General features: G+C 40.7%; 2 long non-coding RNA genes across 2 annotated transcripts in view; one reads left to right on the plus strand and one right to left on the minus strand.

The window, feature by feature from the left end:
• Positions 1-22148, plus strand: part of LOC124907986 (uncharacterized) — a 61427-nt gene extending 39279 nt beyond the window's left edge. The window contains exon 2 of the long non-coding RNA XR_007088096.1: positions 21865-22148. This is a non-coding gene — a long non-coding RNA (uncharacterized LOC124907986). The remainder of the gene's footprint in view (positions 1-21864) is intronic.
• Positions 5431-12497, minus strand: LOC105373905 (uncharacterized). The gene is made up of 3 exons (XR_923950.4): positions 12408-12497; positions 10382-10469; positions 5431-5512 (listed from the first exon to the last, which is right to left on the minus strand). It is a non-coding gene; the product is annotated as an uncharacterized LOC105373905 (long non-coding RNA).
• Positions 22149-23909: the final 1761 nt, after the last annotated feature.

The raw sequence follows: 23909 nt of genomic DNA on the forward strand, positions 1-23909 counted from the left end.
TTTGGGCTTAAGCTATGACATCAAATCCTGCTTTATCAATGATAAAGCCAAAACTTGGACTATGATCTTATTCTTCTTTCTACCTCTCAATTGGTTCAGATCTTGTAGGGTTGAGAAATGTGGTGAAATGAAAGCTTAAACACACGAAACTTACATTTATCTACATGTGTAATGTTCCAGACACATCGTCTTGTGAAATGCCCTCGAGAGCCTTCTAGGCACATTTAGGTGCATCACCGGCATAAGCACCCGCTCTGGCTCTGGACACACAGTGACCACAGCACTAGTCTACAGAGAGGAACATTTTTTTTCATTTCAGTACTGTACATTCCTCCAAGAGTTTTTGAAGCAGCTGGCCTCACGCCCAGTAGTTCTGGGGGAATCATTTGGCCACTCAGTCCCAGTCTCCCTCCCAAACATGTGGCAGTCAAGGAGAATATTCCTTTTATGATCTCAAGTCAGCTTAGAGTAAAACCAGTCCAGTTTGTAACAGAGGAGGCTGTGGACATAGCAAATAAATCACCAGTAGAGCAGAGAGGTGGCTCCACCTCCCCATGCCCTGGTAAGCTCCTGGCTATGCTTCCTAACTGGGAAGGAGATAGCAGACCAGCTAAGCACTGGAGCATCTGCCTCAGGTGACTTCCCCACCCCCACTCCCAATCCAGCTTGGTGTAGGATTTTCACATTCTCTCCTCTTTATTTCTTTTTCCTCCCCCTAGTCTCATTTGCTTTGGGAAAGACATTTATAAATACAGCTGGGAGCCTCATTTTGCCAATGAATTTTACTTGCCTGAGAAGAAAGCAAAGTCTAAAGTTAGCTTCTGAATCTTGCAATGACAAATTGGTTATTGATACCAACACCATGTTGGTATTGGTGGAATACCATGAGGACACTGGACCGATGCCAGTGACACAGATCGGGCAGGCGAGCTCTTGTTGCTCTGGTCAAGCTGCTGGCTCTGCCCCAGATGTGCCACTATCATCACATTTGAGTGGCATCTCCTTGGCTTGTGAAAGATTCATCCTCTGTGCATCAACAGACTGGTATTCCCAGAAGAGGAAACCAGATTTCGGTTCATGATGTGGTAGAAAGAGCACTAGTCCAAACTCAGCGGGCCTGTTTCTAGTTCTGACCTTGTCACTTGCTGAAAAGCTTCAGTTAAGTCACTTTTCAACAGTGCCTCAGTTTCCCTTATCTATATAATGAGCAATCAGAGCAAGTGCATCTCTATTTCCTTTCCAGCCCTCACTGTCTAGAGTTTATCAGTGCTCTAGCTTATAAAGTGGAAGGAAACAGAACTTACTGGGCAGTTTCTTCATGCTGGGCCTTGAAGCAGAGACTTGATACTGTTCTCATTTAATCTTCAGAAAGTATTATTCCAGTTTTACAGAGGCAGTAACTGAGGCTCAGCGAGATTAAGAGACTTGTGCAATATCACACAACTGATCTACTGGTGAGCACACATTTTGTTACAAGTGTCAGGAAATCCAGCTTAACCTGGGTTAAGCAAAAAAGAGAACAAGGAGTTTGAAGATGTGACCAGGAACTGGCTTCTTCTCTCCACCTATCAGCTCTGTTTCCTTTGTGCTGGTTTCATTGTCAGATTTCCAGTGCTAACCATGTGGCTGCAGCAACTCCAGCCCTCACATCACCTGGGGCTGACCAACTGCTCTAGTTTGCCCAGGAGTTAGGGGGTTCCCCAGACATGGGACTTTCAGTTTTAAAGCCAACAAAGTCCCAGTCAAACTGTGACAAGTTGGTCTCCAGCATCAGCTACAGATTCAAATCCAGCAGGAAATAGCATGCTTTTTCGAGTAGCTCTTGCAAAATATTCTGACTTGCTCAGACCTGACTGCTTTATACCAGGATCTCTCCCAGAAACAGTCCCTGTGGCCGGTTCGATGCAGGTGTGCTGATTGGCTTAGGCTTGGGGAGAGCCCTGCCCAGACCATATGCTTGGTGGGGGAGGGGAAGAGCCCTAAAAGAAAGCAGAGGCTGTGGTCAATAAGGAGTGTAGGATCCTGTGGAGGTGAGTGGGAATGACACCCTCTGCTGGTAAGTGGCAGGATCAAGTTTCAAACCCCAGTCTCCTTACTGTGAACCACAGGGAGATGAATTTCCAAAAGATGCTGCGATTCCTTGCCAGGTATGGTCAAGACAGAATGCCCAGCTGAGTTAGAGACTGGTGATTCTGATGCAAGAACTTTAGGAGTTCTTGGCTTTGTGGCCTTTGAATAGAGAACAGATACATTCCCTGGCCCCTACTGCACTGCAGGATTTAGGAAGGTGGTGGACACCATGTGCATGGCGGTGCCTGGCTGATTCTCACCATGTGAGCCTGTCAGCTACATCCTGCAGCACCCTGTTTGATGCCAGTGGCAGAGCCACGCCTACTCCCTGTGGAAATACAGTTTCCGCACAGGCTGAAGGACATCTGTCTGAGAGATTGACATTAAAAAAACATTAAAAGGTGCCTTCTGTGTGGTACCAGTTTAGAGTGACCTGGCTGCTAATACTGTCTTTTATTAAAGCTTCCAACAACAGTTACTGGAGAGCTACTAGGCTAAAAGGAAAGATTATTTTTGGCTCTCATACTTCCTGTTTGAGGAGAAAATGGTGTTCCAGAAAGACTTACAAAGACTGAGAAACTGCTAACATAATGACATTGAAGACGGGAGAGAAATTTCACACTGAAATTTTTATTTCAAGTGAGAGAAAAAGTGTGAAAATTATTTTGAGGGTGATGATAGAAACATGTTGCAATCAGGAAACAGAAATATGTTCTACTTAAAAAGGCCTAATGTTAGAGGTGTATCGGATGGTTTTCGTGCCAAGTTTATCTTCCTGCATATGAAAAATTTTAGAAGTGTTACTAACAGGAATGACTCTACAGCAGAATGATTATTCAAAAATTGCCTTGTATTTAAACCTCCACAAAGATAGATTAAGATGAACTTCAGTTGACATCTGTTGTTTTTTCCTGCACAGCATCAGTCTCTCTTTCTCTGCTAATGGCACTTTGATTTCATCTTAAGGAATTAACCTTAGCTTTACCTTTTCTCAATCTGTGTAGTTTTGGTTGGCTTGAACTCCAAGGTTGAGTGCATGGTCAAAGCTTGGCCATTGTCAAAAGGCAAAATTACAACATGTTTACTTTAAAAATCTTAATTGGTTTTTATTTGTGATTCTAGCACTGGGGGCAACACATCATCTTATAAAATAGAATTAGTGTTCTGATGAGCTGAGCAGAGGAGGTTGGCTTTACAGACAGAAAAGGGGTGAAGAAAAGCAGAAACAGGTATCAAAAAGAGGACTGGTTGTTTCAAAGTTACTTCCCTTGTAGGGTTAAAGCAGAGCGAACTTCCTTATTACACTGACTCAGGTTGACTAGAATCTCCAATTGTTTTTTTTTTTAGTTGAAAACCAGCCCATTTCAAAGTTCGTTTTTCTTACGTGGCAGTTAGCACAAGTGACTCCATTCTGGTTTCGTCTGGTCTGCTGGGGCCTAGTGAAGAAGACTAATCCAAAACAATCACCTTCCATAAACTTTAACCCCATTTCGTCACTGTAATTGGTTCATGTTATGTGATCCAACTTAGGCTAATAAAGATCAGTGCCGAGATTTTTGCTTGACTACAGAAGAAAAGATACTCAGTTTTTGTTGTAATTGCTAAGCTGGTAGAATAAAAGGCCGTCGATGCTAGTGACCACCTTTGCCTAGACCAAAGGCAACATGGTAGAGCCCACGATGTTGAGAAATGACACTTTGACAATATTGCTTGAATACCTGGACCTGGCTGTGCCCGAAGTGATGGATTTCTCAACTCTATGAGCTTAAGCCAGTTTGATTTGGTCTTGGGTCACCTGCAAATGCAAATCCTAACTAATAGATGATGAGAGTATTGTAACTAACCACATAATTCATTTGGAACTCAGTTGTCCAACAGCTTCACCTACGTGGAGCAAAGAAAACTGGGAACTGAGTACAAGGGAACTCTGAAGAAACAAAGTGTCACATAATATATGCTGAAGATTCTGAGATGGACTCAGAAGCACGTCTTTTATTTAGAGTTGTGTGTAAAGTAAGAGTCAAATGCCCTCAGTAGTTTTGCTATTTGGTTTTCAAACCCGCAGCAGATAGGGAGTGTTATAAGGCAAGAAGTAGCCACACCAAGCAGGACCCAGAAGTGAGGAGCAATGAGGCAGTCTAACATGGGCAGAATCAGAGAAGCCACAAGGATTCCAAATCTATAACAGTCCAAGTCATTCAGCTTGAGGCCAAAAAGAACCTGTATCATGTGACTGTTGTTGGTAAGCCCTGTATCATCAGGAAAAGACTGCATGCTGGTCCACTGTTTGCTGTTTTAAAAGGTATGGAAGTACATAACACATTCTAGAAAGTGTTCCAAGTGTCTTAATTTACAAAAAACAAGTTTTGGTTGTAAAAGGGGTAAATTTCATTAAATGGAAGAGCTCTCCACCAAGTTCAATTTCCTGAGGGTAATGGAAGTGTAGAAATGCTTTTATATTGATTTAGAAGCAATGGTTTCTGAGGCCTTTTACGGTTTACCACTAAGTGAGGCAGCCTGTGGTTCTTGATTTTTCTCTGCTTCAGTGGAACCACAAATTGGTTTTGCTGCGGGTGGTGAGGGAGAGAGGGACAGACCAACATGATGATGAAACCCGCGGAGGTCAATCTAACTGCATCTCAGAAGGGACGTGACACGGTGCCACCTCTTTGAGCATTTGTTCTAGGTGGAATATTTCTGTGTGATAGATAATCTCTTTCAAATCTAAGAATCTATAATTACATGCTTGGTTTAAGTGGTTATTTTTTTCATTTAGTTTTAAGTAGTCTCCCATGGAATACAACTATTTTCTCAGATTCGCTTTTTCAGAATGCAAGAGTCATCTCAGGTGTAGATAATGACTTATCTTTCCAGAATCCCTGGGTTAGCCTGGGTTGTGGCCAAGAGAGCTGCCTAGTACAATTCCTGCTTCTCCTTCCATGGATTAGGGCTTTCTTAGGAAATGGCAGTCCAGCCAGGGACCACATTCCTTGGCTCCCCTTTTATCCAGCAGTGACCACATGATTAATTCTCACCAAGGGAACATGAGCAGATGTGATGTGTGTGGATTCTAAGTCATATTTTTGAGAAGCGTGTGTGCCTTCTTCATGATTTCTCCTCCAGTTAGATACAGAGGAGTCTGGTGGAGTCACAAGTTGGAAGACATCTTGTTCTGGAGTTGCCACTTAGAGAAAAGACACCCTCTAACCAGTAATGCCTTCTTCAGACTGTTAGGTAGACGGTCAACAGGTGGTTTCGGGTGGTCCACAGATACAGTGTTAACATTTACTTGCACAGATTATTTCCTTTTTAGTTGTTTCACATTCTTTGATAGTGTCATTCCTTCTGCTGCACTAGATTTTAATACCTCTGTAATATAGTCTTTCCTTTAAATAAAAAAAGATAGCAGGTCTCAGAGTCTTCTGGTAGCAACGCTGTCTTGCTAGGATTAAAAAATATTGATTTGTTTTCATTATACTTATTTTAGCATTCATCTTTTATTTATGGCAAGTAAAACTGGTTTTCTAACTATAATAGGAAAATACATTTTTCTTTTAAATATTTGTATTTTTAAGAGGAATGTGAGGTGATTAAAATATTAAGTAATAGGAATGGTGGTAGCTAAGATGAATGCACTACTATAAAATCCATTGATGAACTGGTTAGTATAAGATACTGCCATATTATTCTTCTGCAGGTTTTGGTATTGAGAATGAAGGTGACTAACTTTTCATTGAAAAACTGTTAAAAAATAGCAACAGAGTGAGACCCTGTCTCAAAAAAAAAAAAAAAAAGAACCAAAAAAGTTAAACGAAGTGTGATTCATTCTACTCTCTGAAAAATTCCATTTAGATCATTAGGATGAAATCTCGTGGTATTTTAAAATTTGGGCTATCTTCATTTCTGATAAATGACATTTATAAAAAACAACTTTATTGAGATATAATTGATATATCATATAATCACCTGTTTAAAGTGTACCATTCGGTGCTTTTTAGTATATTTATAGAGTTGTGCACCATCACCATAACTAATCTTAGAATAATTTCATTGCCCTGAAATAGACAACCTGTACCTATTCAGTCCCCTTTCCCTCCAAATCTGCTGCCCCAAGCTCTAGATAACCACTAACTTACTTTATGTCTCTATAGATTGACTTATTCTGGATATTTCACATATATGGAATCCTACAATATGTGTGCTTTTTATGACCAGCTGCTTTGACTTAGCATAATGTTTTCGAGGTTCATCCGTGTTGTAGCATGTATTAATACTTCATTTCCTTTTATTGTCAAATAATATTCCATTACATGTATATGCTACAGTTGTTTATCCATTTACCAATTGATGAACATTTGGGTTGCTTCAATGTTTGGCTATTACAAATATTATTGCTGTGAACATTCATGTGTAAGTTTCTGTGTGGATGTATGTGATCACTTCTCTTGGGTAAGTATTAACGAGTAAAATTGCTGGGTCATGTGGTAACTGTGTTTAACCTTTTAAGGAAGAGCTAAACTGTTTTCCAAAGTGGCTGCACTGTTTTACATTACCATTAGCAATATATGATGGTTTGAATTTTTTTTTACATCCTCACCAACCTTACCCTCTGTCTAATTGATTACAGCCATCCTTGTGGATGTGAAGTGGTACTGATTTTGGTTTCCTTGCTGGCCAAGGATGTTGAGTATCTTTTTATGTGCTGCTAGTCATCTGTATGTCTTCTTTGGAGAAAGGTCTAGTCAGATCATTTGCCTATTTTTAATTGGGTTGTTTATTATTTTATTATTGAGTTTTAGGATGTCTGTGTTTACTTTGAATACAAGTCCTTTATTAGATACGTGATTTGCAAACAATTTCTTTCATTTTGTAAGTTGCCTTTTTACTTTCTTGATGGTGTTATTTGCACTACCCCATGACTTTTTATAGCCTCCATGACCTCAGAATTTTATCCATCAATTGATCCATCCATCCATCCATCCACCCATTTATTCAATGATTCACTGATGAGGAGCCTGTTGATTGACTTTTTCTCCTCCTTCAAGTATGAAAGGTTTTAATGTAAAGAAAAGAGAGGCTTATTCATTGGTTGGGAGGGCAAGGGGAGCAAAGGTCAGGGAAGCTCTTGTCAGCTGTTAGCCTGTGGCACCAAAGTGGGTGATTCTTGAGTTCACCGGGAAACCACTGTGACTCTCGATAACCTCTGGGTAGCTCCCATCAACAGAACTTTTTCTGGATCTGATCGATTTCCTTTCCTGACTTGTGAGTGAGAGGATTTTTCTGTGGTATGAAGTAACCAAGTGAAAAAAACCTTAATGGAAAACACAGTAAGGAACAGGTGTGTATTTCACTGGTTAACTAATGTAATCCCTATTTTGCAGGACCTTTGTGTTGAGCCATGGGGTCATGCTTGACAATTCATTGTAAGAAAAATGGGCTTGGAAAAACATGTCAAGAGGCCGGGCATGGTGGCTCATGCCTGTAATCCCAGCACTTTGGGAGGCCGAGGCGGGTGGATCACCTGAGGTCAGGAGTTCAAGACCAGTCTCAACATGGAGAAACCCTGTCTCTACTAAAAATACAAAATTAGCCGGGTGTGGTGGCCGGCACCTGTAATCTCAGCTACTCAGGAGGCTGAGGCGGGAGAATTGCTTGAACCTGGGAGGCGGAGGTTGCAGTGAGCTGAGATCGTGCCATTGCACTCCAGCCTGGGCAACAAGAGCAAAACTCTGTCTCAAAAGAAAAAAAAAAAAGAAAAAAGAAAAACATGTCAAGAAATCCATATCCAGATTAATATACTTTCAGAAAAGTGTTTTATGTAAAATGTTTATATTCATTTTCCACTCGGCACATACTTCACACCTCCCTCTTAAGAAAATAACAAAACAAAACTCAATACCTTATTTCCTTTGGAAAAGTCTGGATATTTTAGAACACTTCAAGTTAAACTGCATTATATGCTGTTCAACTGGTAACTGCAAACAGTTATCTCAGGTGAGTTTGTGTAGTCATAAAGGGGAGCAAGGTTTGTGGCCAAACTTAATTAGCTTTGCCTTTTTCTTTGAACTGCAATCTGTGTTCCAAATGACAGTTGGCTTCAATTTCCTCATTTGTGTCATATATATAACAACATATACTTCATTATACGATTAACAATGTGTACATGCCTCATTCAGTGCCTGGCTTAGAGTAGGTGATCCATTCATTTATTAACTTTCATCTTTTCTTGATTTTGAATGCAGAAGGTCAAGCCTGGAGAATGTGGTTACATTTACACAATGGAGAAAACAATTTATACAAAATACCTTAGGATCAGGCATCCGCATACGAAGAGAACATTTGCAAGTATACTTCCCTTTAAGGATTGGATGGGGGGTGTGGTATGGTAAGATATCAGGTGTATGGAATGCTTGGAAATGCCAGATTTTCAGTCACAGAGGCCACAGTTTGCCTGACACCCCTTGGGTGGTCAGTGGAGACACATGCAGATCAGAGGGCTGGCTCCGGATCAGGGCTCCCTGTGCAATCTCACTGGGAAACATCTGCTTTACGGAAAGAAGCAGACCAAATGGCCCCAGGAAAGATTCAAGTCAGATGGAAAAAATGAAGTCTCTTAAGCCCTAGGCTTAAGTTCATTTCCTAAAAAAGGCACATGGTGTACTTAGTAGCATTTTTAGAGGAATGTCATTCCTTGACATTGGTTGATGGTCTGGGATGCACTCCACAGTGAAGATAGGGTGTGTGGCTCGAAAGAAGGGCAGAGTCTTCAGATTGGGCCAAGTGAATGAGGAGGTTGTCCCTTTTATTTTATGATTCATGATCTTGCTTCAGCTCTGGGTGATCCTCTTTGATTTGAACTTCCCTTCTCATTCAAAGACATGCAGACATAGCATGTGTCATAACACTGAGGTTAAGTAATGCAATAGCATGGATCTTGGACATCTACTAGCCACAAGGCACTGCGTGAAGCTCTGTAGGGGTTGTAGATAGACAGGTATAGGATACCATCATTTTCCCCAGAAACTGGCAGTGGAGTTGAAAAGATAAGCAAGACATCGATGATGCTTAGTTTGATGTGTCAACTTGGCTAGACTATAGTATCCAGTTATTTAATCAGACACTACTCTAGGGGTTGCTATGAAGGTATCTTGTAGATGTGGATGGCATCTACACTCAGTCGGCTCTAAGTAAAGGAAATCACCCTTGATAATGTAGTGTCATCTAATCAGTTGAAGGCCTTAAAAGCAAAAAGTGAGGTTTCTTGGATAAGAAGACATTCTGCCTTAATACTGCACCATCAACTACTGCTGAGTTTCCAGCCTGCTGGACTGCCCTACAGATTTCAGACTTGCCAGACCTCACAACTATGTGAGCCAATTCCTTAAAATTAACAGGTACCCTCCCCAGCCCTCTATGGGTCTCCTTCTCTGGAAAAACACTGACACAGGATCCAATAGCTTGATGCAAAGCACAACGTATGCTCCATAAGAGCAGGGACTTTGTTTTGTTGACTCGTGTATCTCAGCAGTTAAAACAATGCCTGGCATCTGCTTGACACTCAATAAATACTTCTTGGATGAATGGAGAGATGGTTTGGTGGCTGGATGAATGGATGAAATAATTGTGGTATGAACAACAGGAATAGTACAGAATGTTACTACTCCCCAGACAAAATCATAGCATTCTTAGAATCAACCTTCAATTTCAATTTTTATGCTTTTTTTTCTCCTAAAACTAGAATGTATCACATGTAAAATGATGAGGAGTCTAAACCAAAAGCCGCCTGTTCCACTTGCCGGTGATTAGTTTAAAAATGGGGTGGGGAGGGCCTAGATTCTGGACTGTGGGATGTTAAGAAGTATATTACATGTGGCTGGGAAAGTTTTCTTCTCCTGAAACAAAAATCCTCTTTCTTCTCTGGATATAAAGTTAACTGTATATGATGCTTTAAGTTTCTGTAGCCATTTTTTATAGTGGAACAAGGGCTGAGCCACAAGAATTGCAGAGAAATAGAGCAAGAGTCCTGATACAGCACATCTGAAGCCCATCTTAGCTGAATTCGGGACTGTATGTGTGTTTGTGTGTGTGTGTGTGTGTGTGTGTGAGAGAGAGAGAGAGATAAGAAGAGAGAGAGAATAAATTTGTCTTTTGTTTAAGACGGTTTGAACCATGGTTTTTGTTACCTGAGCTAAAGGCATCTTGATTCATTAAATGAAAATACAGTCATGCTAGAATGGCTAGAAGTGGCTAGTAGTTAAGAAAACTTTAAAAAGCTGAGTGTGTTTGATATCAGCAATGATGAGTTGCTTACCAGGATAATTTAGTTGTTGGTATACATTGGTTTAGGTACTCCTTAATTGGGAAGTTTCTTAAAAACCAAGGAAAAGCTCCTGAAGAATCTGAAAGAACACAGAAGTACCCATGTATTAATAGTGGAAGACATTACACAAAATTGCAACCCTATGTCCTTCACTCAAAAACCAGTGGAGGTAGTTTCAAGGGGCCTACAAGCAAAAAGCTGCCTAATTCTCAACAGCTCTTTGCTTGTTCTTTTTTTTTTTTTTCTTTTTTTTCTTTTTTTTTTTTTTTTTTTGAGATAGAGTCTCACTCTGTCACCTAGGCTGGAGTACAGTGGCGCAATCTCAGCTCACTGCAATGTCTGCCTCCCGAGTTCAGTGATTCTCCCACCTCAGCCTGCCGAATACAGGCATGCGCCACCACACCCAGCTAGTTTTTTTTTTGTTTTTTTTTTTTTTTAGTCAAGACGGGGTTTCGCCATACTGGCCAGGCTTCTTTGTTTTTTCTGAGTGAGTTATCACATTTTACACCCTGGACTATTGCATCCCAATGTTGTTCCTAATAGCCTTCAGGGGATATAGGGTGCCAGGGTGGAGCTGGAAGGATTATATATGTGTCTGTTTTGCTGGTTTGTTCTTGACAGGGTGTTAAGGAATGTGAAGGATCTGAGATTTTACTCCATTTACAAGTTAACAAGTTTGTCTGCCAGCCCTGGGGATGATGGCAGAAGACATGAGACTCCTATGTCAGAGACAAAAGATGTTATTATTCACTCATGGCAGAGCAAGCAGCATAAACATTATGTTTATATTGGTCACCTGCCCCTCCATGTCTTATGGGGTTGATGTGGAGGGACCCAGGTGAATGCTGTGCATTCAGTGGGCTGACCTCACACCTGAGGAACCCTTGGCTTAGGGAACCTGAATCTTAGGGCTGCTAGCAAACCTTCCCTTTTCTCTGGAGAGAGACATCATCTTTTCTATGCTGGGCAGTAGGCAAATCTTCCCTTTACTCTGGAGGCTGTCACTATCTCTATCTTGCAATGCTGCTTACTATACAGACATCCTTCAAAAGATAGTCCAGGGTGAAAACACAGTTAATGCTATGCTCCCAGGACACTCAGAAATGCAAGAGTTACAGGGAAACTGCCTCCCTGGAAGGGGCTAGGGAGGGGCTTAGGGAATTGGGGAGAGTCTAGCTGGGTTTATAGGATACCAAAGTTGTGACCCGCTAGATTACCAGTGTGAATGCATAGTAGTGTTTTGGTGGATGGTTTTGTGACAAGAAGATGTGAAACCCCACAGACAGTTTAGGATGATTACCAAATAGGAAGGGATATTGCTGTAGCTCTTTGTTTGGGGCAATGAAGTATTTCACTGGAGCTGCTTAGAAATAAAGTGTTCTGTTCCATTGAAAATGAGAAAAGCAGCTAACACCTACAAAGTGCATTCTGTGTACCAGTGAGAGAGCTAAATTCTTTGTTTAGACTAACTTATTATCACTACAACATTATGAGATAGGGGCCATAATTTTCCTCAATATGCAGATGAGGAAAATGAGGCACAGAGAAAAATTAGGATTATAAAAGAACAATTTCAGAATATCACACAGCAACTAAAAGAGTGGGAAGATTGAGGGCCTGCCTGAGAAATCCAGGGAAGGCATTTCCTATCAGAGCATTACTTGGTCGACCTGTCAGGATCAGAGTTGGGCTGGAGCTACCTGGAATTAAATTGGAACACTCTTTCCTATCCCTACCTTAAAGACAATGCTTGATAATCAAGATATTGTATGAGCATGAAGAGGAGAAGGAAGTAGAGAAAAAAGAGTCAATGCTATAGACCCTCATAGTTAATATCTACTGACACAAAGATGGATAATCAGGAAGCGGGAAGGGTGGTGACATGATTTGCCTCCATGTCTGTCTTAATGGGCAACTGTAGTCAAAATGCTTATCCCCAGTGTATTAGTCTGTTCAGGCTGCCATAACAAAATGCTGCAGACTGGGTGGTTTACACAACTGAAATTTATTTTCTCACCATTTTGGAGGCTGAAAGTCCAAGACCAAGGTGCCAGCAGGGTCCGTTTCTGGCAAGGCCTCTCTCCTCGGCTTCAGATGATGCCTTCTCTCTGTGTTCTCCCATGGTCTTTTCCCTGTGCACACAAAGAGAGAGCTCTCTGGTGTCTCTTCTTCTTGTAAGGCTATCAGTCCTGTTGGATTAGGGCACAACCTTTATGACCCCTTCAACCTTTATTATCTCCTTATAGGCCCTTTCCACAAATACAGTCACATTGGGGGTTAGGGCTTCAACCTATAAATTTTTTAGGAGGGGGATACAATTCAGTCCATGACACCCAGTTTTCAGATAAGAAAATGAAACATTAGCGAAGTCAGCAATACCTACCTCATAGAATTAAAAGAGATTTTGTATTTTGTCTGGCAGATCATGGGTGCTCAGTCAATATCACCTCCCTTCCTTATGTTTTAATGATCAGCTAAGGCGGGCGTTGATTTATTGCATGTTCAGCATAAGGAGGGGTCATGGAAGGTTAGGGAATGGATGGGGAGGAGATGAATGCTTCACTAGTTTTATCTTGCTGCATAACAAATTACCACAAATTCAGTGGCCTAAGACACCATTCATTTATAATTTGCATTTACCATGAGTTAGGAGTCCAGACATGGCTTACTTGGATTCTGTGCTCAGGAACTCATGAGGCTGAAATGAAGTTGCTGCCTGGGTTGCATTCCTTCCTGGAGCCAGAGTTTTCCTCTGAGCTTTTGAGATTGTTGACCGAGTTCAGTTCCTTGGGGTTGTAGGACTCAGGTCCCCATTTTCCTGCTGGTTGACAGTGGCTGGGGACACTGTCAGCTCCTAGGGGCCACTCCCATTCCTTGCTATGTGGACCTCTGATAGATTCCCTTGCAACATGACAGCTTAGTTCATTAAAGCCAGCAAGAGAATCTTACTCCAGTGTGCTGAAACAGTGTTTCAAGTAATGTCACATAATCATGGGGGTAACATCTCATCACCATTGCCATATTTTATTGGCTAGAAGTAAGTCACAAGTTCTGCCCACATTCACAGGGAGGGATTATACAAGGCTGTGACTCATTGAAGATTACCATAAGGTTTGTCAGCCTTTGGCAGAAAGGATAAAAGGGGTTGGTGCTGATGGCAACTGCCATCTGCTTTGTATGACATCTGTCATACATGCTGTGGGTGACCAAACTTGAAGATGGATTAGCAGCTGAAGAATGGCATCAAGAATGTAGTTGTTGAGTTTTCAGATGGCCTGAAATAATAGGGTGCTGAGAGTCTGAAAGATAGTAATCGAATTCCAGACAGTAGTCTGAAAGATAGGAAAGGAAGAAATTAGAACCTCTAAAAGAGTGTAAAACTCAGTTAGGGCAAATCACTACCACTTACTTGAAGACACAAACTAAACTGTCCTCAAAATCAAAATGAATAGATAAACTATTTTTAAAAAGACTCTATTGTCTTAATTCTACTAAGCTCAATGAGAGTGTAGCATGTGGGTCAGTTATGTAGTAGAAGTAGTGATATTAGATAGAGGTACAAACGGTCTATTTCTCATTCCAGGAAAAGTATTGACTTCTACAGGTGAAGAATACTGAGCTTCTCTCTTTCTGCCCATAGAGTTTGTTCTATACTTTTGAGAGAGTGCAACATTTAGCGAGGTGTAATGGAACTTCAGGAGTTTCAGAAAGGAATACATGATTTGATCATGAGGAAGAAGGACTGGTTGTGATGATGGCCCTTCTCTGAAGGTAGAGCCTGTGGTGGACCTGGGACTTGAACCTGGGGAGTCTGGCTTCAGGCTCTGTTTGAACTCTCTACTTGTTACTGATAGGAGAGTCACCTTGGTTCCAGAGCTGCTTCATTTCATAGTTTTAGTCCTTTTCTGAGGTTCAGGTGTATCCTTGTCCTTATATAGAATGTAATATCCCCTTATAATAAATTCCTTGTGAAGTTTTATTAAACATTTATTAAAGCTGGTTTCTGTTTCTTGCGTACAGAAATAATTTAACTAAGACAGTTGTTGACTCATAAAAGAAAAAGCAGTGAAGGCTTCATGATTGTTATTTCAGACACGAAAAGTCAACACGACTCTCCAGCTGTATAGAATTCAACAGGAAATGGGTTTAAGTTTCAGGAAAGAGCATTTTATTAGACCATTGGAGTCCATAATAAGTCTCTAGCCTAATAAGCAAGAGAAAATTATAGATTAAGTTCTTAGGATCTTCAAAAACCAGAAAAATTACAAACAAGTGTAAAGTAGGAGACTGGAGCTGAAGATTCTTTGAGGTCTTTTACACATACATTTCTAAAAATGAAAGACTGCATAATTCCAACATACTGGAGAGTAGGGAGTGGAGGGGTGAGCTTGTAGAAGTTCTTTGGGGACTGGCCGGGCGCAGTGGCTCACGCCTGTAATCCCAGCACTTTGGGAGGCCGAGGCAGGCGGATCAAGAGGTCAGGAGATCAAGACCATCCTGGCCAACATGGTGAAACCCCGTCTCTACTAAAAATACAAAAATTAGCTGGGTGTGGTGGCATGCCCCTGTAATCCCAGCTACTTGGGAGGCTGAGGCAGGAGAATCGCTTGAACCTGGGAGGCGGAGATGATTGCAGTGAGCCGAGATTGCGCCACTGCACTCCAATCTGGCGACAGAGGGAGACTCCACCTTAAAAAAAAAAAAAAAAAAAAGAAGAAGAAGTTCTCTGGGGACTTGGTTGGAGCCGGACCTGTCCGATATGGTTTCCAATCCAAACTTCACCTTTAAGGAAGTCTTCTCATGTAGGGAAACTGAGGTAGAAGGAATCATGCCTGCTGTGGTTTAAGTTTCTTGAGGTCAGGCACTTCCTCTTTTCCCAGCACTGTAGGAAGCAGTCATTTAATTTTGAGAATGATGACAACTGCATAATTAGTAGGAGGATATTAAGATAATAAATTGTGTTTAACTTGAATATTTTAAAGAGTTTATTAGTGTTTTACATTTTGGATTGGGGGTCAGATGCTTCATAATAATCTTAAATCACTAAATGAAGGATTCATGACTCAGATATTCTTTGGAAATCTTTGATATCACATGGCAGCCTTCAGCAGCCTTACCAGAACATTGTATTCTTGACTGGCTAATGCATTTTAGAAGGAACTTCATTTCTTTTGAGGTACTACAAAGAGTCACTGGAATGTTATCAGGTCCTCATGATATGAATTATGTAAAAAGTAGCCGCATTGATCTTGTTCTATAATGAAAAACTTAATGTCTAAAACCTCTGAGGGAGATTACCAAAAATTCTTCACATTTAAGATAGCCATTGGGATGCAAAATGTAGTCACCAATGTTTGCTGTGCTCCAAGACACTGCTAGATTCTTCACACTTATTACCAGTGTTTAGAAAACCTGTAGGAACAAGAATAGGGCAGCTCAGATGCCAAAGATCATCAAGCATTGCAAGAGAGGTAGCCAGAGAGATTTCATTCGCATAAATTAAAAAAAAAGTCTCAGTAAGCCGCAACTGTGGTTCTCTTTGTTTTGGTTCATGCGAGCATCTTGAAGACCAAAACTTTCTGGAAGCATAGACCTTCCCCACATTTTGTGACAGAGTGATGACACATACTTGTCATTTGAGAGGCACCATGCTATAGTGAAAGAAGCCAGATTTGGAGTCACCGGCTATACACTCTGTAATTTACATCTTCTGTTACCTGACCTCCCTGAGCCTTCGTTTTCTCATCAATAAACTGAGGATCAAAAGGATCCTCCCAAAGTTGTTATGAGGCTCAGTGGACCTCCAGAAGGGATGGCACTGATTAGCACTGACTAAGATTCAGTGATTGAGAATCACCAAATGACAGTGATATCACTGATTGAGAATCAGCACAAGCCATAGTCACCACTATCCATGGTGGTCTGAGGGTGGGCTCTCCTATCTGGCCACCTGTGGTCAGATCCTGAGCTAGCCTCTCAGTGGTTGCACAACCTTTGGCAAGTTAGGCATTCTGAGCCTCAGTTGTCTAAATCAGTAAAATGCCAATCATACAGTAATGACAGCTGTTTAACGGGGTTGTTAAAGGAGTGCGTGAATAGTGGAAAGTGCTTGCAATAGTGGAAATATTATAGTAGAACAGTGGAAAGTTCATATTAGGCCTAATAAACATTAACTTCTGCTACCACTGGGTAGTATTCCAGATTATACAGCTAAAATGCTTCAAATCAGAGATTCCAATTTTGGGGCTTTTCTTATCTCTAATATCCTAAGCCCAACCACCTCTTTTCATTTCTTAAACCGAAAGCTGTGGAAATAGTCATTTTTCCTCATAGGCATTATATAAAATATCACAGATCCTGTAGGTAAACAGTTATGTATAGTTTTTCTTGGCTCACTGCTTAAAATGGAAAAACAGAGGAATCTGTTGCCTTTCCTCTTGTTAATTTCGTGTGCGTATGGAGCCCATAGCTTGAGAATAATTGTCTTGAGGACAAGGGCAAAATCTTTTATCTTTATTTTATGCACAACTTCTGCATGATCTCAGTGGTTAGTTGAATAATTGTTGGTAGACTTATTTTGGATTGAGTCAATTTTCTATTCCCAGTGCTATAATGAGGTATAATGAGGTGTATGAGGGAAATAGGTAGTATTTTCATCCATTTGGACTCACTTCTGTTAACCCCACTTATTTAATTACTCAGAAATATTCATTAATTTAACAAATATTGAGGCTGCTATGCACCAGGTGCTTTGATGAGTACTAGGGAGAGTAGCAAGTCAGACATAGACCCTGCCGTCATGGGGCTTGAATTCTAACTTCCTATTATATACACAATGAGGTTCATATGATATTAAGAATCATTTAAATCTACAATTGTAAGGCACACTTAAATTTTGAGTATGTTTTGAGTTTATCATACATCTTCCCCTTTGTACCTTGTTCACCTTTTTAGGTCTCCAAATCACTTCCCTAAAATATTCCAGCCAATTTTCTTTAGTGCATTTCTGACATTCAAATAAAATTGTGGCTTTTAATTAAAAGGCAAGGTATTCCATTGAAACTTTTTCTATTAAATTTTAGTGGAACACTACAATAGTAGGTAAACACCAGACAAATGAATCCTATTTAAACATGGATAATATTCATCTACTTCTTTCTTAGAGCTTCCTGTAAAAATCAGGAAGACTCTTCAAACTTTACTTTCACAGGCCTGTACACTGCTGGAGGAAGGAGGTCCAAAGGGAAAAATAATTTGCAGAAGGAAAAACACCATGGAGATGGAAAAAAAAAAAAAAAAAACAAGTATTAAAACACTTGAAACAAAGGAATGGGTCACAGCTTGAAGAAGAGCTCTGGTTGAAGACCGGAAAACACCAGGGGTTAGCATAGCGGAAAACACATATAAACATATTTTAGTTTTGAGAAATGGCTCATAGGAAATTTAATGTCTGTAAAAAGTCCCCTTTTATTTCACATAGGAAGGAGGGTTAAATAGCACATTTAAAAGCACATTTAAAAGCACTGGGAAATCCCGTCCCCAAGGGTCTCAGTTCACTTGAACTCAGCTACCAGTTGCAGAGAACCTGCTTTGTACCAGGCACTGTGCTCCAGATGGAGACACAGGAAGAAGGAGGAGATCCAGTTCCCAGTCTGGAGAGGCTTCCGGTCCATTATGGAAGAAGATGTCTAAGCAGGAAATTCCTCCACACTGTGATCTGATTTGTGATGCAGGGAGGACTTCGTTACCATGGGTGTGCTTTGAAGGAGGTGTGGAGCCTGGGGTGCAGGGAGGGGGTACATAGTGGAATTTCTGGAGCAGGTGATGTATCTCCAAAGGGTGGGTAGTGGTCTTACATCAATTAACATAGTACTTTCATTTTGAAAGACTTTTAAGAAACTGAATGCGGACATCCATGAGATGATGCATACGACTGAAACTTTCCAAGTTGAATATTAAAGGTAGTAATCACATCCTGCGTCTAATTCCCTTCTTGCCAAAGAGCAGAGGCAAAACCATTGAACAACTGCATACAGTAATTCACCTGCAAATATGTTGATACAGGTTCTGCCAACTGTATTCTCTGAATAGTGCATTCTCCCCAGATGACTTTCTGTTAATTGGCAACTATGGGAGTGTCCTCCTTAGAGGGTTTTGTTGCCAGAACTCTTTCCTGTTGCCAAATAGCCAAAACTATCCTTGTGAGGGGAACTACGCATCAAATTTCTTTATTTGGTGGCTTTTCTCAGGTTCAAAGAATTCCCACAAGGTTATTTCAGGATGGCTTGAAAATAGATGGTAATTTAATTAACCCTTTCTCGGATGGTATTAATCACTCCAGTCTTGTCAAGAAGCAGATGCTTGTATCATTCACAAAATGTGTTGCTGATAAGATGGATTGGTGGCTTTTCATTCTCAGGAAATCAAACAAGTCACATTTATGTCAAAGATGGCGTGCACCGGTGACCTTCCCTTGGTTGGGGCAGTTTCCCTTCAGGAAAATGCTTAAGTGGTATACAACAGTTCTGAGAAAAGAAAGTAAGCATCTCTTGATTCTCTGAAAGTGTATCTGTTCTGAGAAATACTTAAAGATGATTAAATTTCTTGATAAATCTCTTTCACAACATTTAACCAACTTAAGAATTTGGGGATTTTCTTGATAGTATTCTTATTATAGAAAATTTTCTATTCATGCTTCTCTATCCTTTTACTTTTGCCAAAAAAAAAAAAAGATCAAAATAAAGGAAAATACAAGAAAAAGAAGCTTCCCACATTGCAATAGATAGAGCATATTGGGCCACTTTTCACTCTGCCATTGAGGTTCGTGTTCACTTTGGATATACCTACGTTGGAGCAAAAATATGGCTTGGAAGGGCTTCAGCCCTGTTGGAATTTCTACCCATCCTACTCCAAATAAATATGCAATCTAAATAAAAACTGGGCACTTGCTATGCACACACAGCTTCAAAAGGGGCATCCCTCACTAACAGAATGCCCTCCTGCTGTGTGCCAGCCAACCCTTTAGATATTCTAGGGCACATTTGGGAGAAGCAGCTGTGGCCCATGTCTTTGGAGTATAGGGCAGGTGCAGTGACATGAACAACAGATAACTGTTCTCAGCCTGGAGTGGTGCTTAAATTTCATACTTTGCCAGGGTTCCCTTGAAAAGTTAATGAGATAGAGTTGTTTAAATCCTATTAAGCTGTCATGGATGTGTTTCTGGGTTCTTTTTCTCAGTTTTACTCATCACGAGGGACTTGGTGCAGGACCCAATTTTAGACATGTGAATCCAATTCATAATCCTGTTGTTCTCACTCAGCTCATGGTGGGTATGTGGAAACAAGCTCTTACTTCCCACACCTTTAAAATGGCAATGTTGAGCAGTTTGTTGGTATGGCCTGCACCTCCTTAGAGGAAATCTATCCACATCTTTTAGATGCCTTCCAATGGCTATTAGTAGGTAGAGTTACAGGTTAAAATCATTGCCATTTCTGTACATATGGCTGAACTTTCTTCCTATATACTCAAACATAACTTGGAATTACATCTTGATTGTGTGTAACAGGAAAGCTTTGGTTCCTACTGGGGTTATTGGAGATAAATTAATCTCTGCAGGAATAGTAGGAAGGGTACTGGAGCTTTGGGTAATGAGAAGAAGGGTTGAATCAGCTGAGAAAAAAAGCCACTGGGCTGGATTCTGGCTGGAAAGTGAATTGGACCCTTGGGGGTTTAGCAGAATCTATCCAGTTCTAGCCATGGGGGCCTCTGAAGCTGCACTGTGTGCCTGGCACTAGCAGACAGAGAGACGCCTTCAACTCCTGGCCTCAGACACTAGGACGAGGGTGGAAGCTTGGTGCTCTTCTCTTTTTCCCTTTGACTCTTACCCTTTGCCTTCACTTGGTGTCAAATTCAGGTCACTGTATGACCCTCCAGTGCCCTCTGATCCTGCTTCTCTCTCTTTGTTTCCCCAAATCTCCCCACCCCTCAGCCTCTGGTAACCACCATTTTACTCTTTGCTTCTGTGAGTTTGACATTTTCAGGTTCCATATATCAGTGAGATTATGCAGTAGTTGTCTTTCTGTGCCTGGCTTATTTAATTTCACACAATGTCCTTCAGGTTCATCCATGTTTTTGCAAATGCAGGATTCTTGTTTTTCTTTTTAAGGCTGAATAGTATTCCACTCTGAATATATATGACAATTTTCTTAATCTATTTATTTGTTGATGGGCCCTTAGTTTGATTTCATGTCTTGGCTATTGTGAAGAATGCTTCAGTGAACATGGGAGTGCAGATATCTCTTCAACATACTGATTTCCTTTCCTTTGGCTGTATAGCCAGAATTGGCTATTATATGTAATATAATGTAATAGCTGGATTACATGTTGGTTCCATTTTTTTTCGAGGAGCTTCTATACTATTTTTCATAATGGCTGTGCTAATTTACATTCCCATCAACACTGTGTAGGCTCCTGTTTCTCTACATCCTCTCCAAAGCTTGTTGTCTCTGTTTGCAGATGACATAATCTTATATGTAGAAAACCCTAAAGACTTTACAAAAATAATCTTAGAACTAATACATTCAGTAAAGTTGCAAGATTAAAAAATCAATGCAACAAGAACCAAGCTGCACCCCTAGAGTGTTGCATAGATGCCTGTGGCAATGAGATGCAGGGCCATCAGAGGGCTGTTAGGATCCAGGGCTTGCTCTACCTGGCACTTGGAAGTAAGACTGGTCCTCAGTTACTCCCAAAGTTGGACCAAATGAGTCCCTAGTCACTTGAATACTTAGATGGAGAGCATGTCTTAAGAAGGAACTATTAGATTTTCTGCTTATAGACCATGTCTTAAGTGATTAACCAAAGCTGCATGACTGTATTTGTCCCTTGTTTTTAGACTAGGTCAAACTTTTTAATTACCTTGACTGTACATTAAAATCACTTGGGGAAGATTTATAAAGTCTGGGTCCACTCCCAGAGATTCTGATTTTGTTGGTCAAGGCAGTGTGCCCTGGGCATATGGGTTTCTTGTTTTAAAAACTCCCTGCGTAATTTTAATGTGCTGGCAAGGCTGAGAACCATGGGACATAACATAGAGGCTGCATTAAATGTTTTAATACATGTAAAGTACTCAGAAGATTACTTGGCACATAGAAGATACACAACAAATGCTACTGTTTTTGTTGTTATTATTGGCACATGGCTGAACACCAGATCAAACATGGAATACATAAACAGAATATCTCAACACTCACACACTAATCATATCCTGACCAAAGACCAGGATTAGATCTCTAACTGCTGGGAACAGTTATCCACTTAAGAATTGTGTTTCTCTTTCTATTTGGGTAATTAGCACTGGAAAGGTGGGCCTTTGATGTTTGCCTTCCAAAAAGAGGTTTATTGGCACTGGCTTCTGAAATGAGAAAGTCAGACTTATGAAATTGAAATGCTTCTGTATTTGTTAACACCCCCAGGTCTTGGAAGAAGACTTCAGATGAATAATGGAGCCCTCAAGAATAGACAAAAATGGAAGGACGTTTGCCAATTATACTTCCTTGATGAGGATATTAGTGCAGGTTAATTTGCAATAAGTACATACCTATTATGTGTAGGTCTTCATGGGAGACCCAATGGATGACATACAAACTAAAAAACCTAAGCTTCTCTATTGAGTTTATAATATTGATCCATAACATATATAAAATGTGAGAGTCAAGTTTATTTCATATGCTTAAATAAAAATCATTGGACAGTTTAAGAGTTGTGTAAAGTTGATTCACTTCCTGTAACAGATTTTTATCCACTCTTTTCTTGTTGGTCATGCACTACTGCATCAAATATGTCATACAAAACATTTTAATGGACTTCTCATCCTCCTTCCTCTTCTTTTTTTTAGAGAAAAAAGAAACTTTCACATGGGAGTAGAAGAATACTTTTTCATCTGATTTTTACTATTTTAAGCTTTAAATGTTTAATACTGTCTTCAAAAGTTGTGGGTCGGGTGCAGTGGTTTGCGCCTGTAATTCCAGCACTTTGGGAGGCCAAGGCGAGTGGATAACTTGAGGTCAGGAGTTCGAGACCAGTCTGGCTGACACGATGAAATCCCGTCTCTACTAAAACTACAAAAATTAGCCAAGTGTGGTGGTGGGCACCGGTAATCCAAGCTACTCTGGAGGCTGAGGCAGGAGAATTGTTTGAACCTGGAAGGCGGAGGTTGCAATGAGCCGAGATTGTGCCATTGCACTCCTGCCTCGGTGACAGAACAAGACTGTGTCTCAAAAAAAAAAAAAAAAAGTTGAAATTGCTCAAGTAAACAAATCATTTCAGAATAAGCTGAAAGATGAACTATCTTTGTATTACCTTAGCAGATTCCTATTTTCATCTTACTCAGTACTGTAGTAAGATTTTTCTATTGTCTTCTATTGGGGTTAAGGTGAGGCAGTTTAGCCTGTGGCTAAAGAGTATTGTATACTTAAGAGGTATCATTTAAGATTTTTCTTACAAATTACTAAACTTTGGTTGAACTGTCACAGGAAGGACAGGCTGGAAATATTACACAGTAGCTCAATCGCTCACAATGGAAAAGAACACAAAGTCTCAATGCAGGAGACTGCAATAGCTTTTTGGCTCCAGCTCAGAGCGTAGCCTGGCCAGCCTCTCTGGTGCCTTTTTTTAAATATAAAAATGGAGACCGTCAGTGTTGACAAGGTTCCTTTGGCTTATTTGTGTTGACATGGCTGCCAGTGATGATTTGTTCTCATGAGAGCTGTGAAAGGTGACACTTCCAGGGTTACTTTGCAAACAGCACTTTCCAACTTAATTATGCCAACAGGTCTTTCCTGTAAATTAGCATTGCCAAGACAAAACCTTGGCAGAGTTGAGTTTCAATAGTCATTCAGTAAGTCATTCACTCGTTTGTTTACTTAATTCATTCAGAGGAGTATTTATTGAATGCATACCTCTCTCAGTGCAGAGAGGTAATTGGCCAGGCACTTTGTTAGGCACGGAGATCTGACAGAGAATCTGGGCAGTCCTCACTCTGCTGCTTCTTATTTGGGTGGCCCTGGGACAGTCACTTGGCCATTCTTAGCCTTGGTTTTCTAATCCCCTCTAGCTGGCCATGTGACTTTTAGTCCCCCTGCTTACTATCCATTCCCATCGTGTTGAACTTGGAAGCCATCATGTAATTTGTATTGACCACTGAAATATGGGCACAGGGGACACACAGCACTTCCACATGGAAGCTTTAAGAGCCACTCTTGGGCCACACCTCTCTCTCTCTCTTCCCTCTTTGGTGAGCCCAACAATGTTCCTAGTATGGGTTGCTCCTTCCATTTAGGTCCAGGAATGGTAGGGCAGACCAGGGCTGACACTTGATGGCCAAGGAGCATTGAAAAGAAGAAATACTCTTGAGATTTTTGAGTCTTTTGTTACTGTTGCAGAATCTCACCTCTGCTGACCGATACAGTTCATTCTTGCTGCAGGGGAGTACTGTAGCTACAGCACTGCTAGGAAAGAT

The sequence above is a fragment of the Homo sapiens genome, chromosome 2, assembly GCF_000001405.40.
Source record: "Homo sapiens chromosome 2, GRCh38.p14 Primary Assembly".
NCBI lineage: Eukaryota > Metazoa > Chordata > Mammalia > Primates > Hominidae > Homo > Homo sapiens.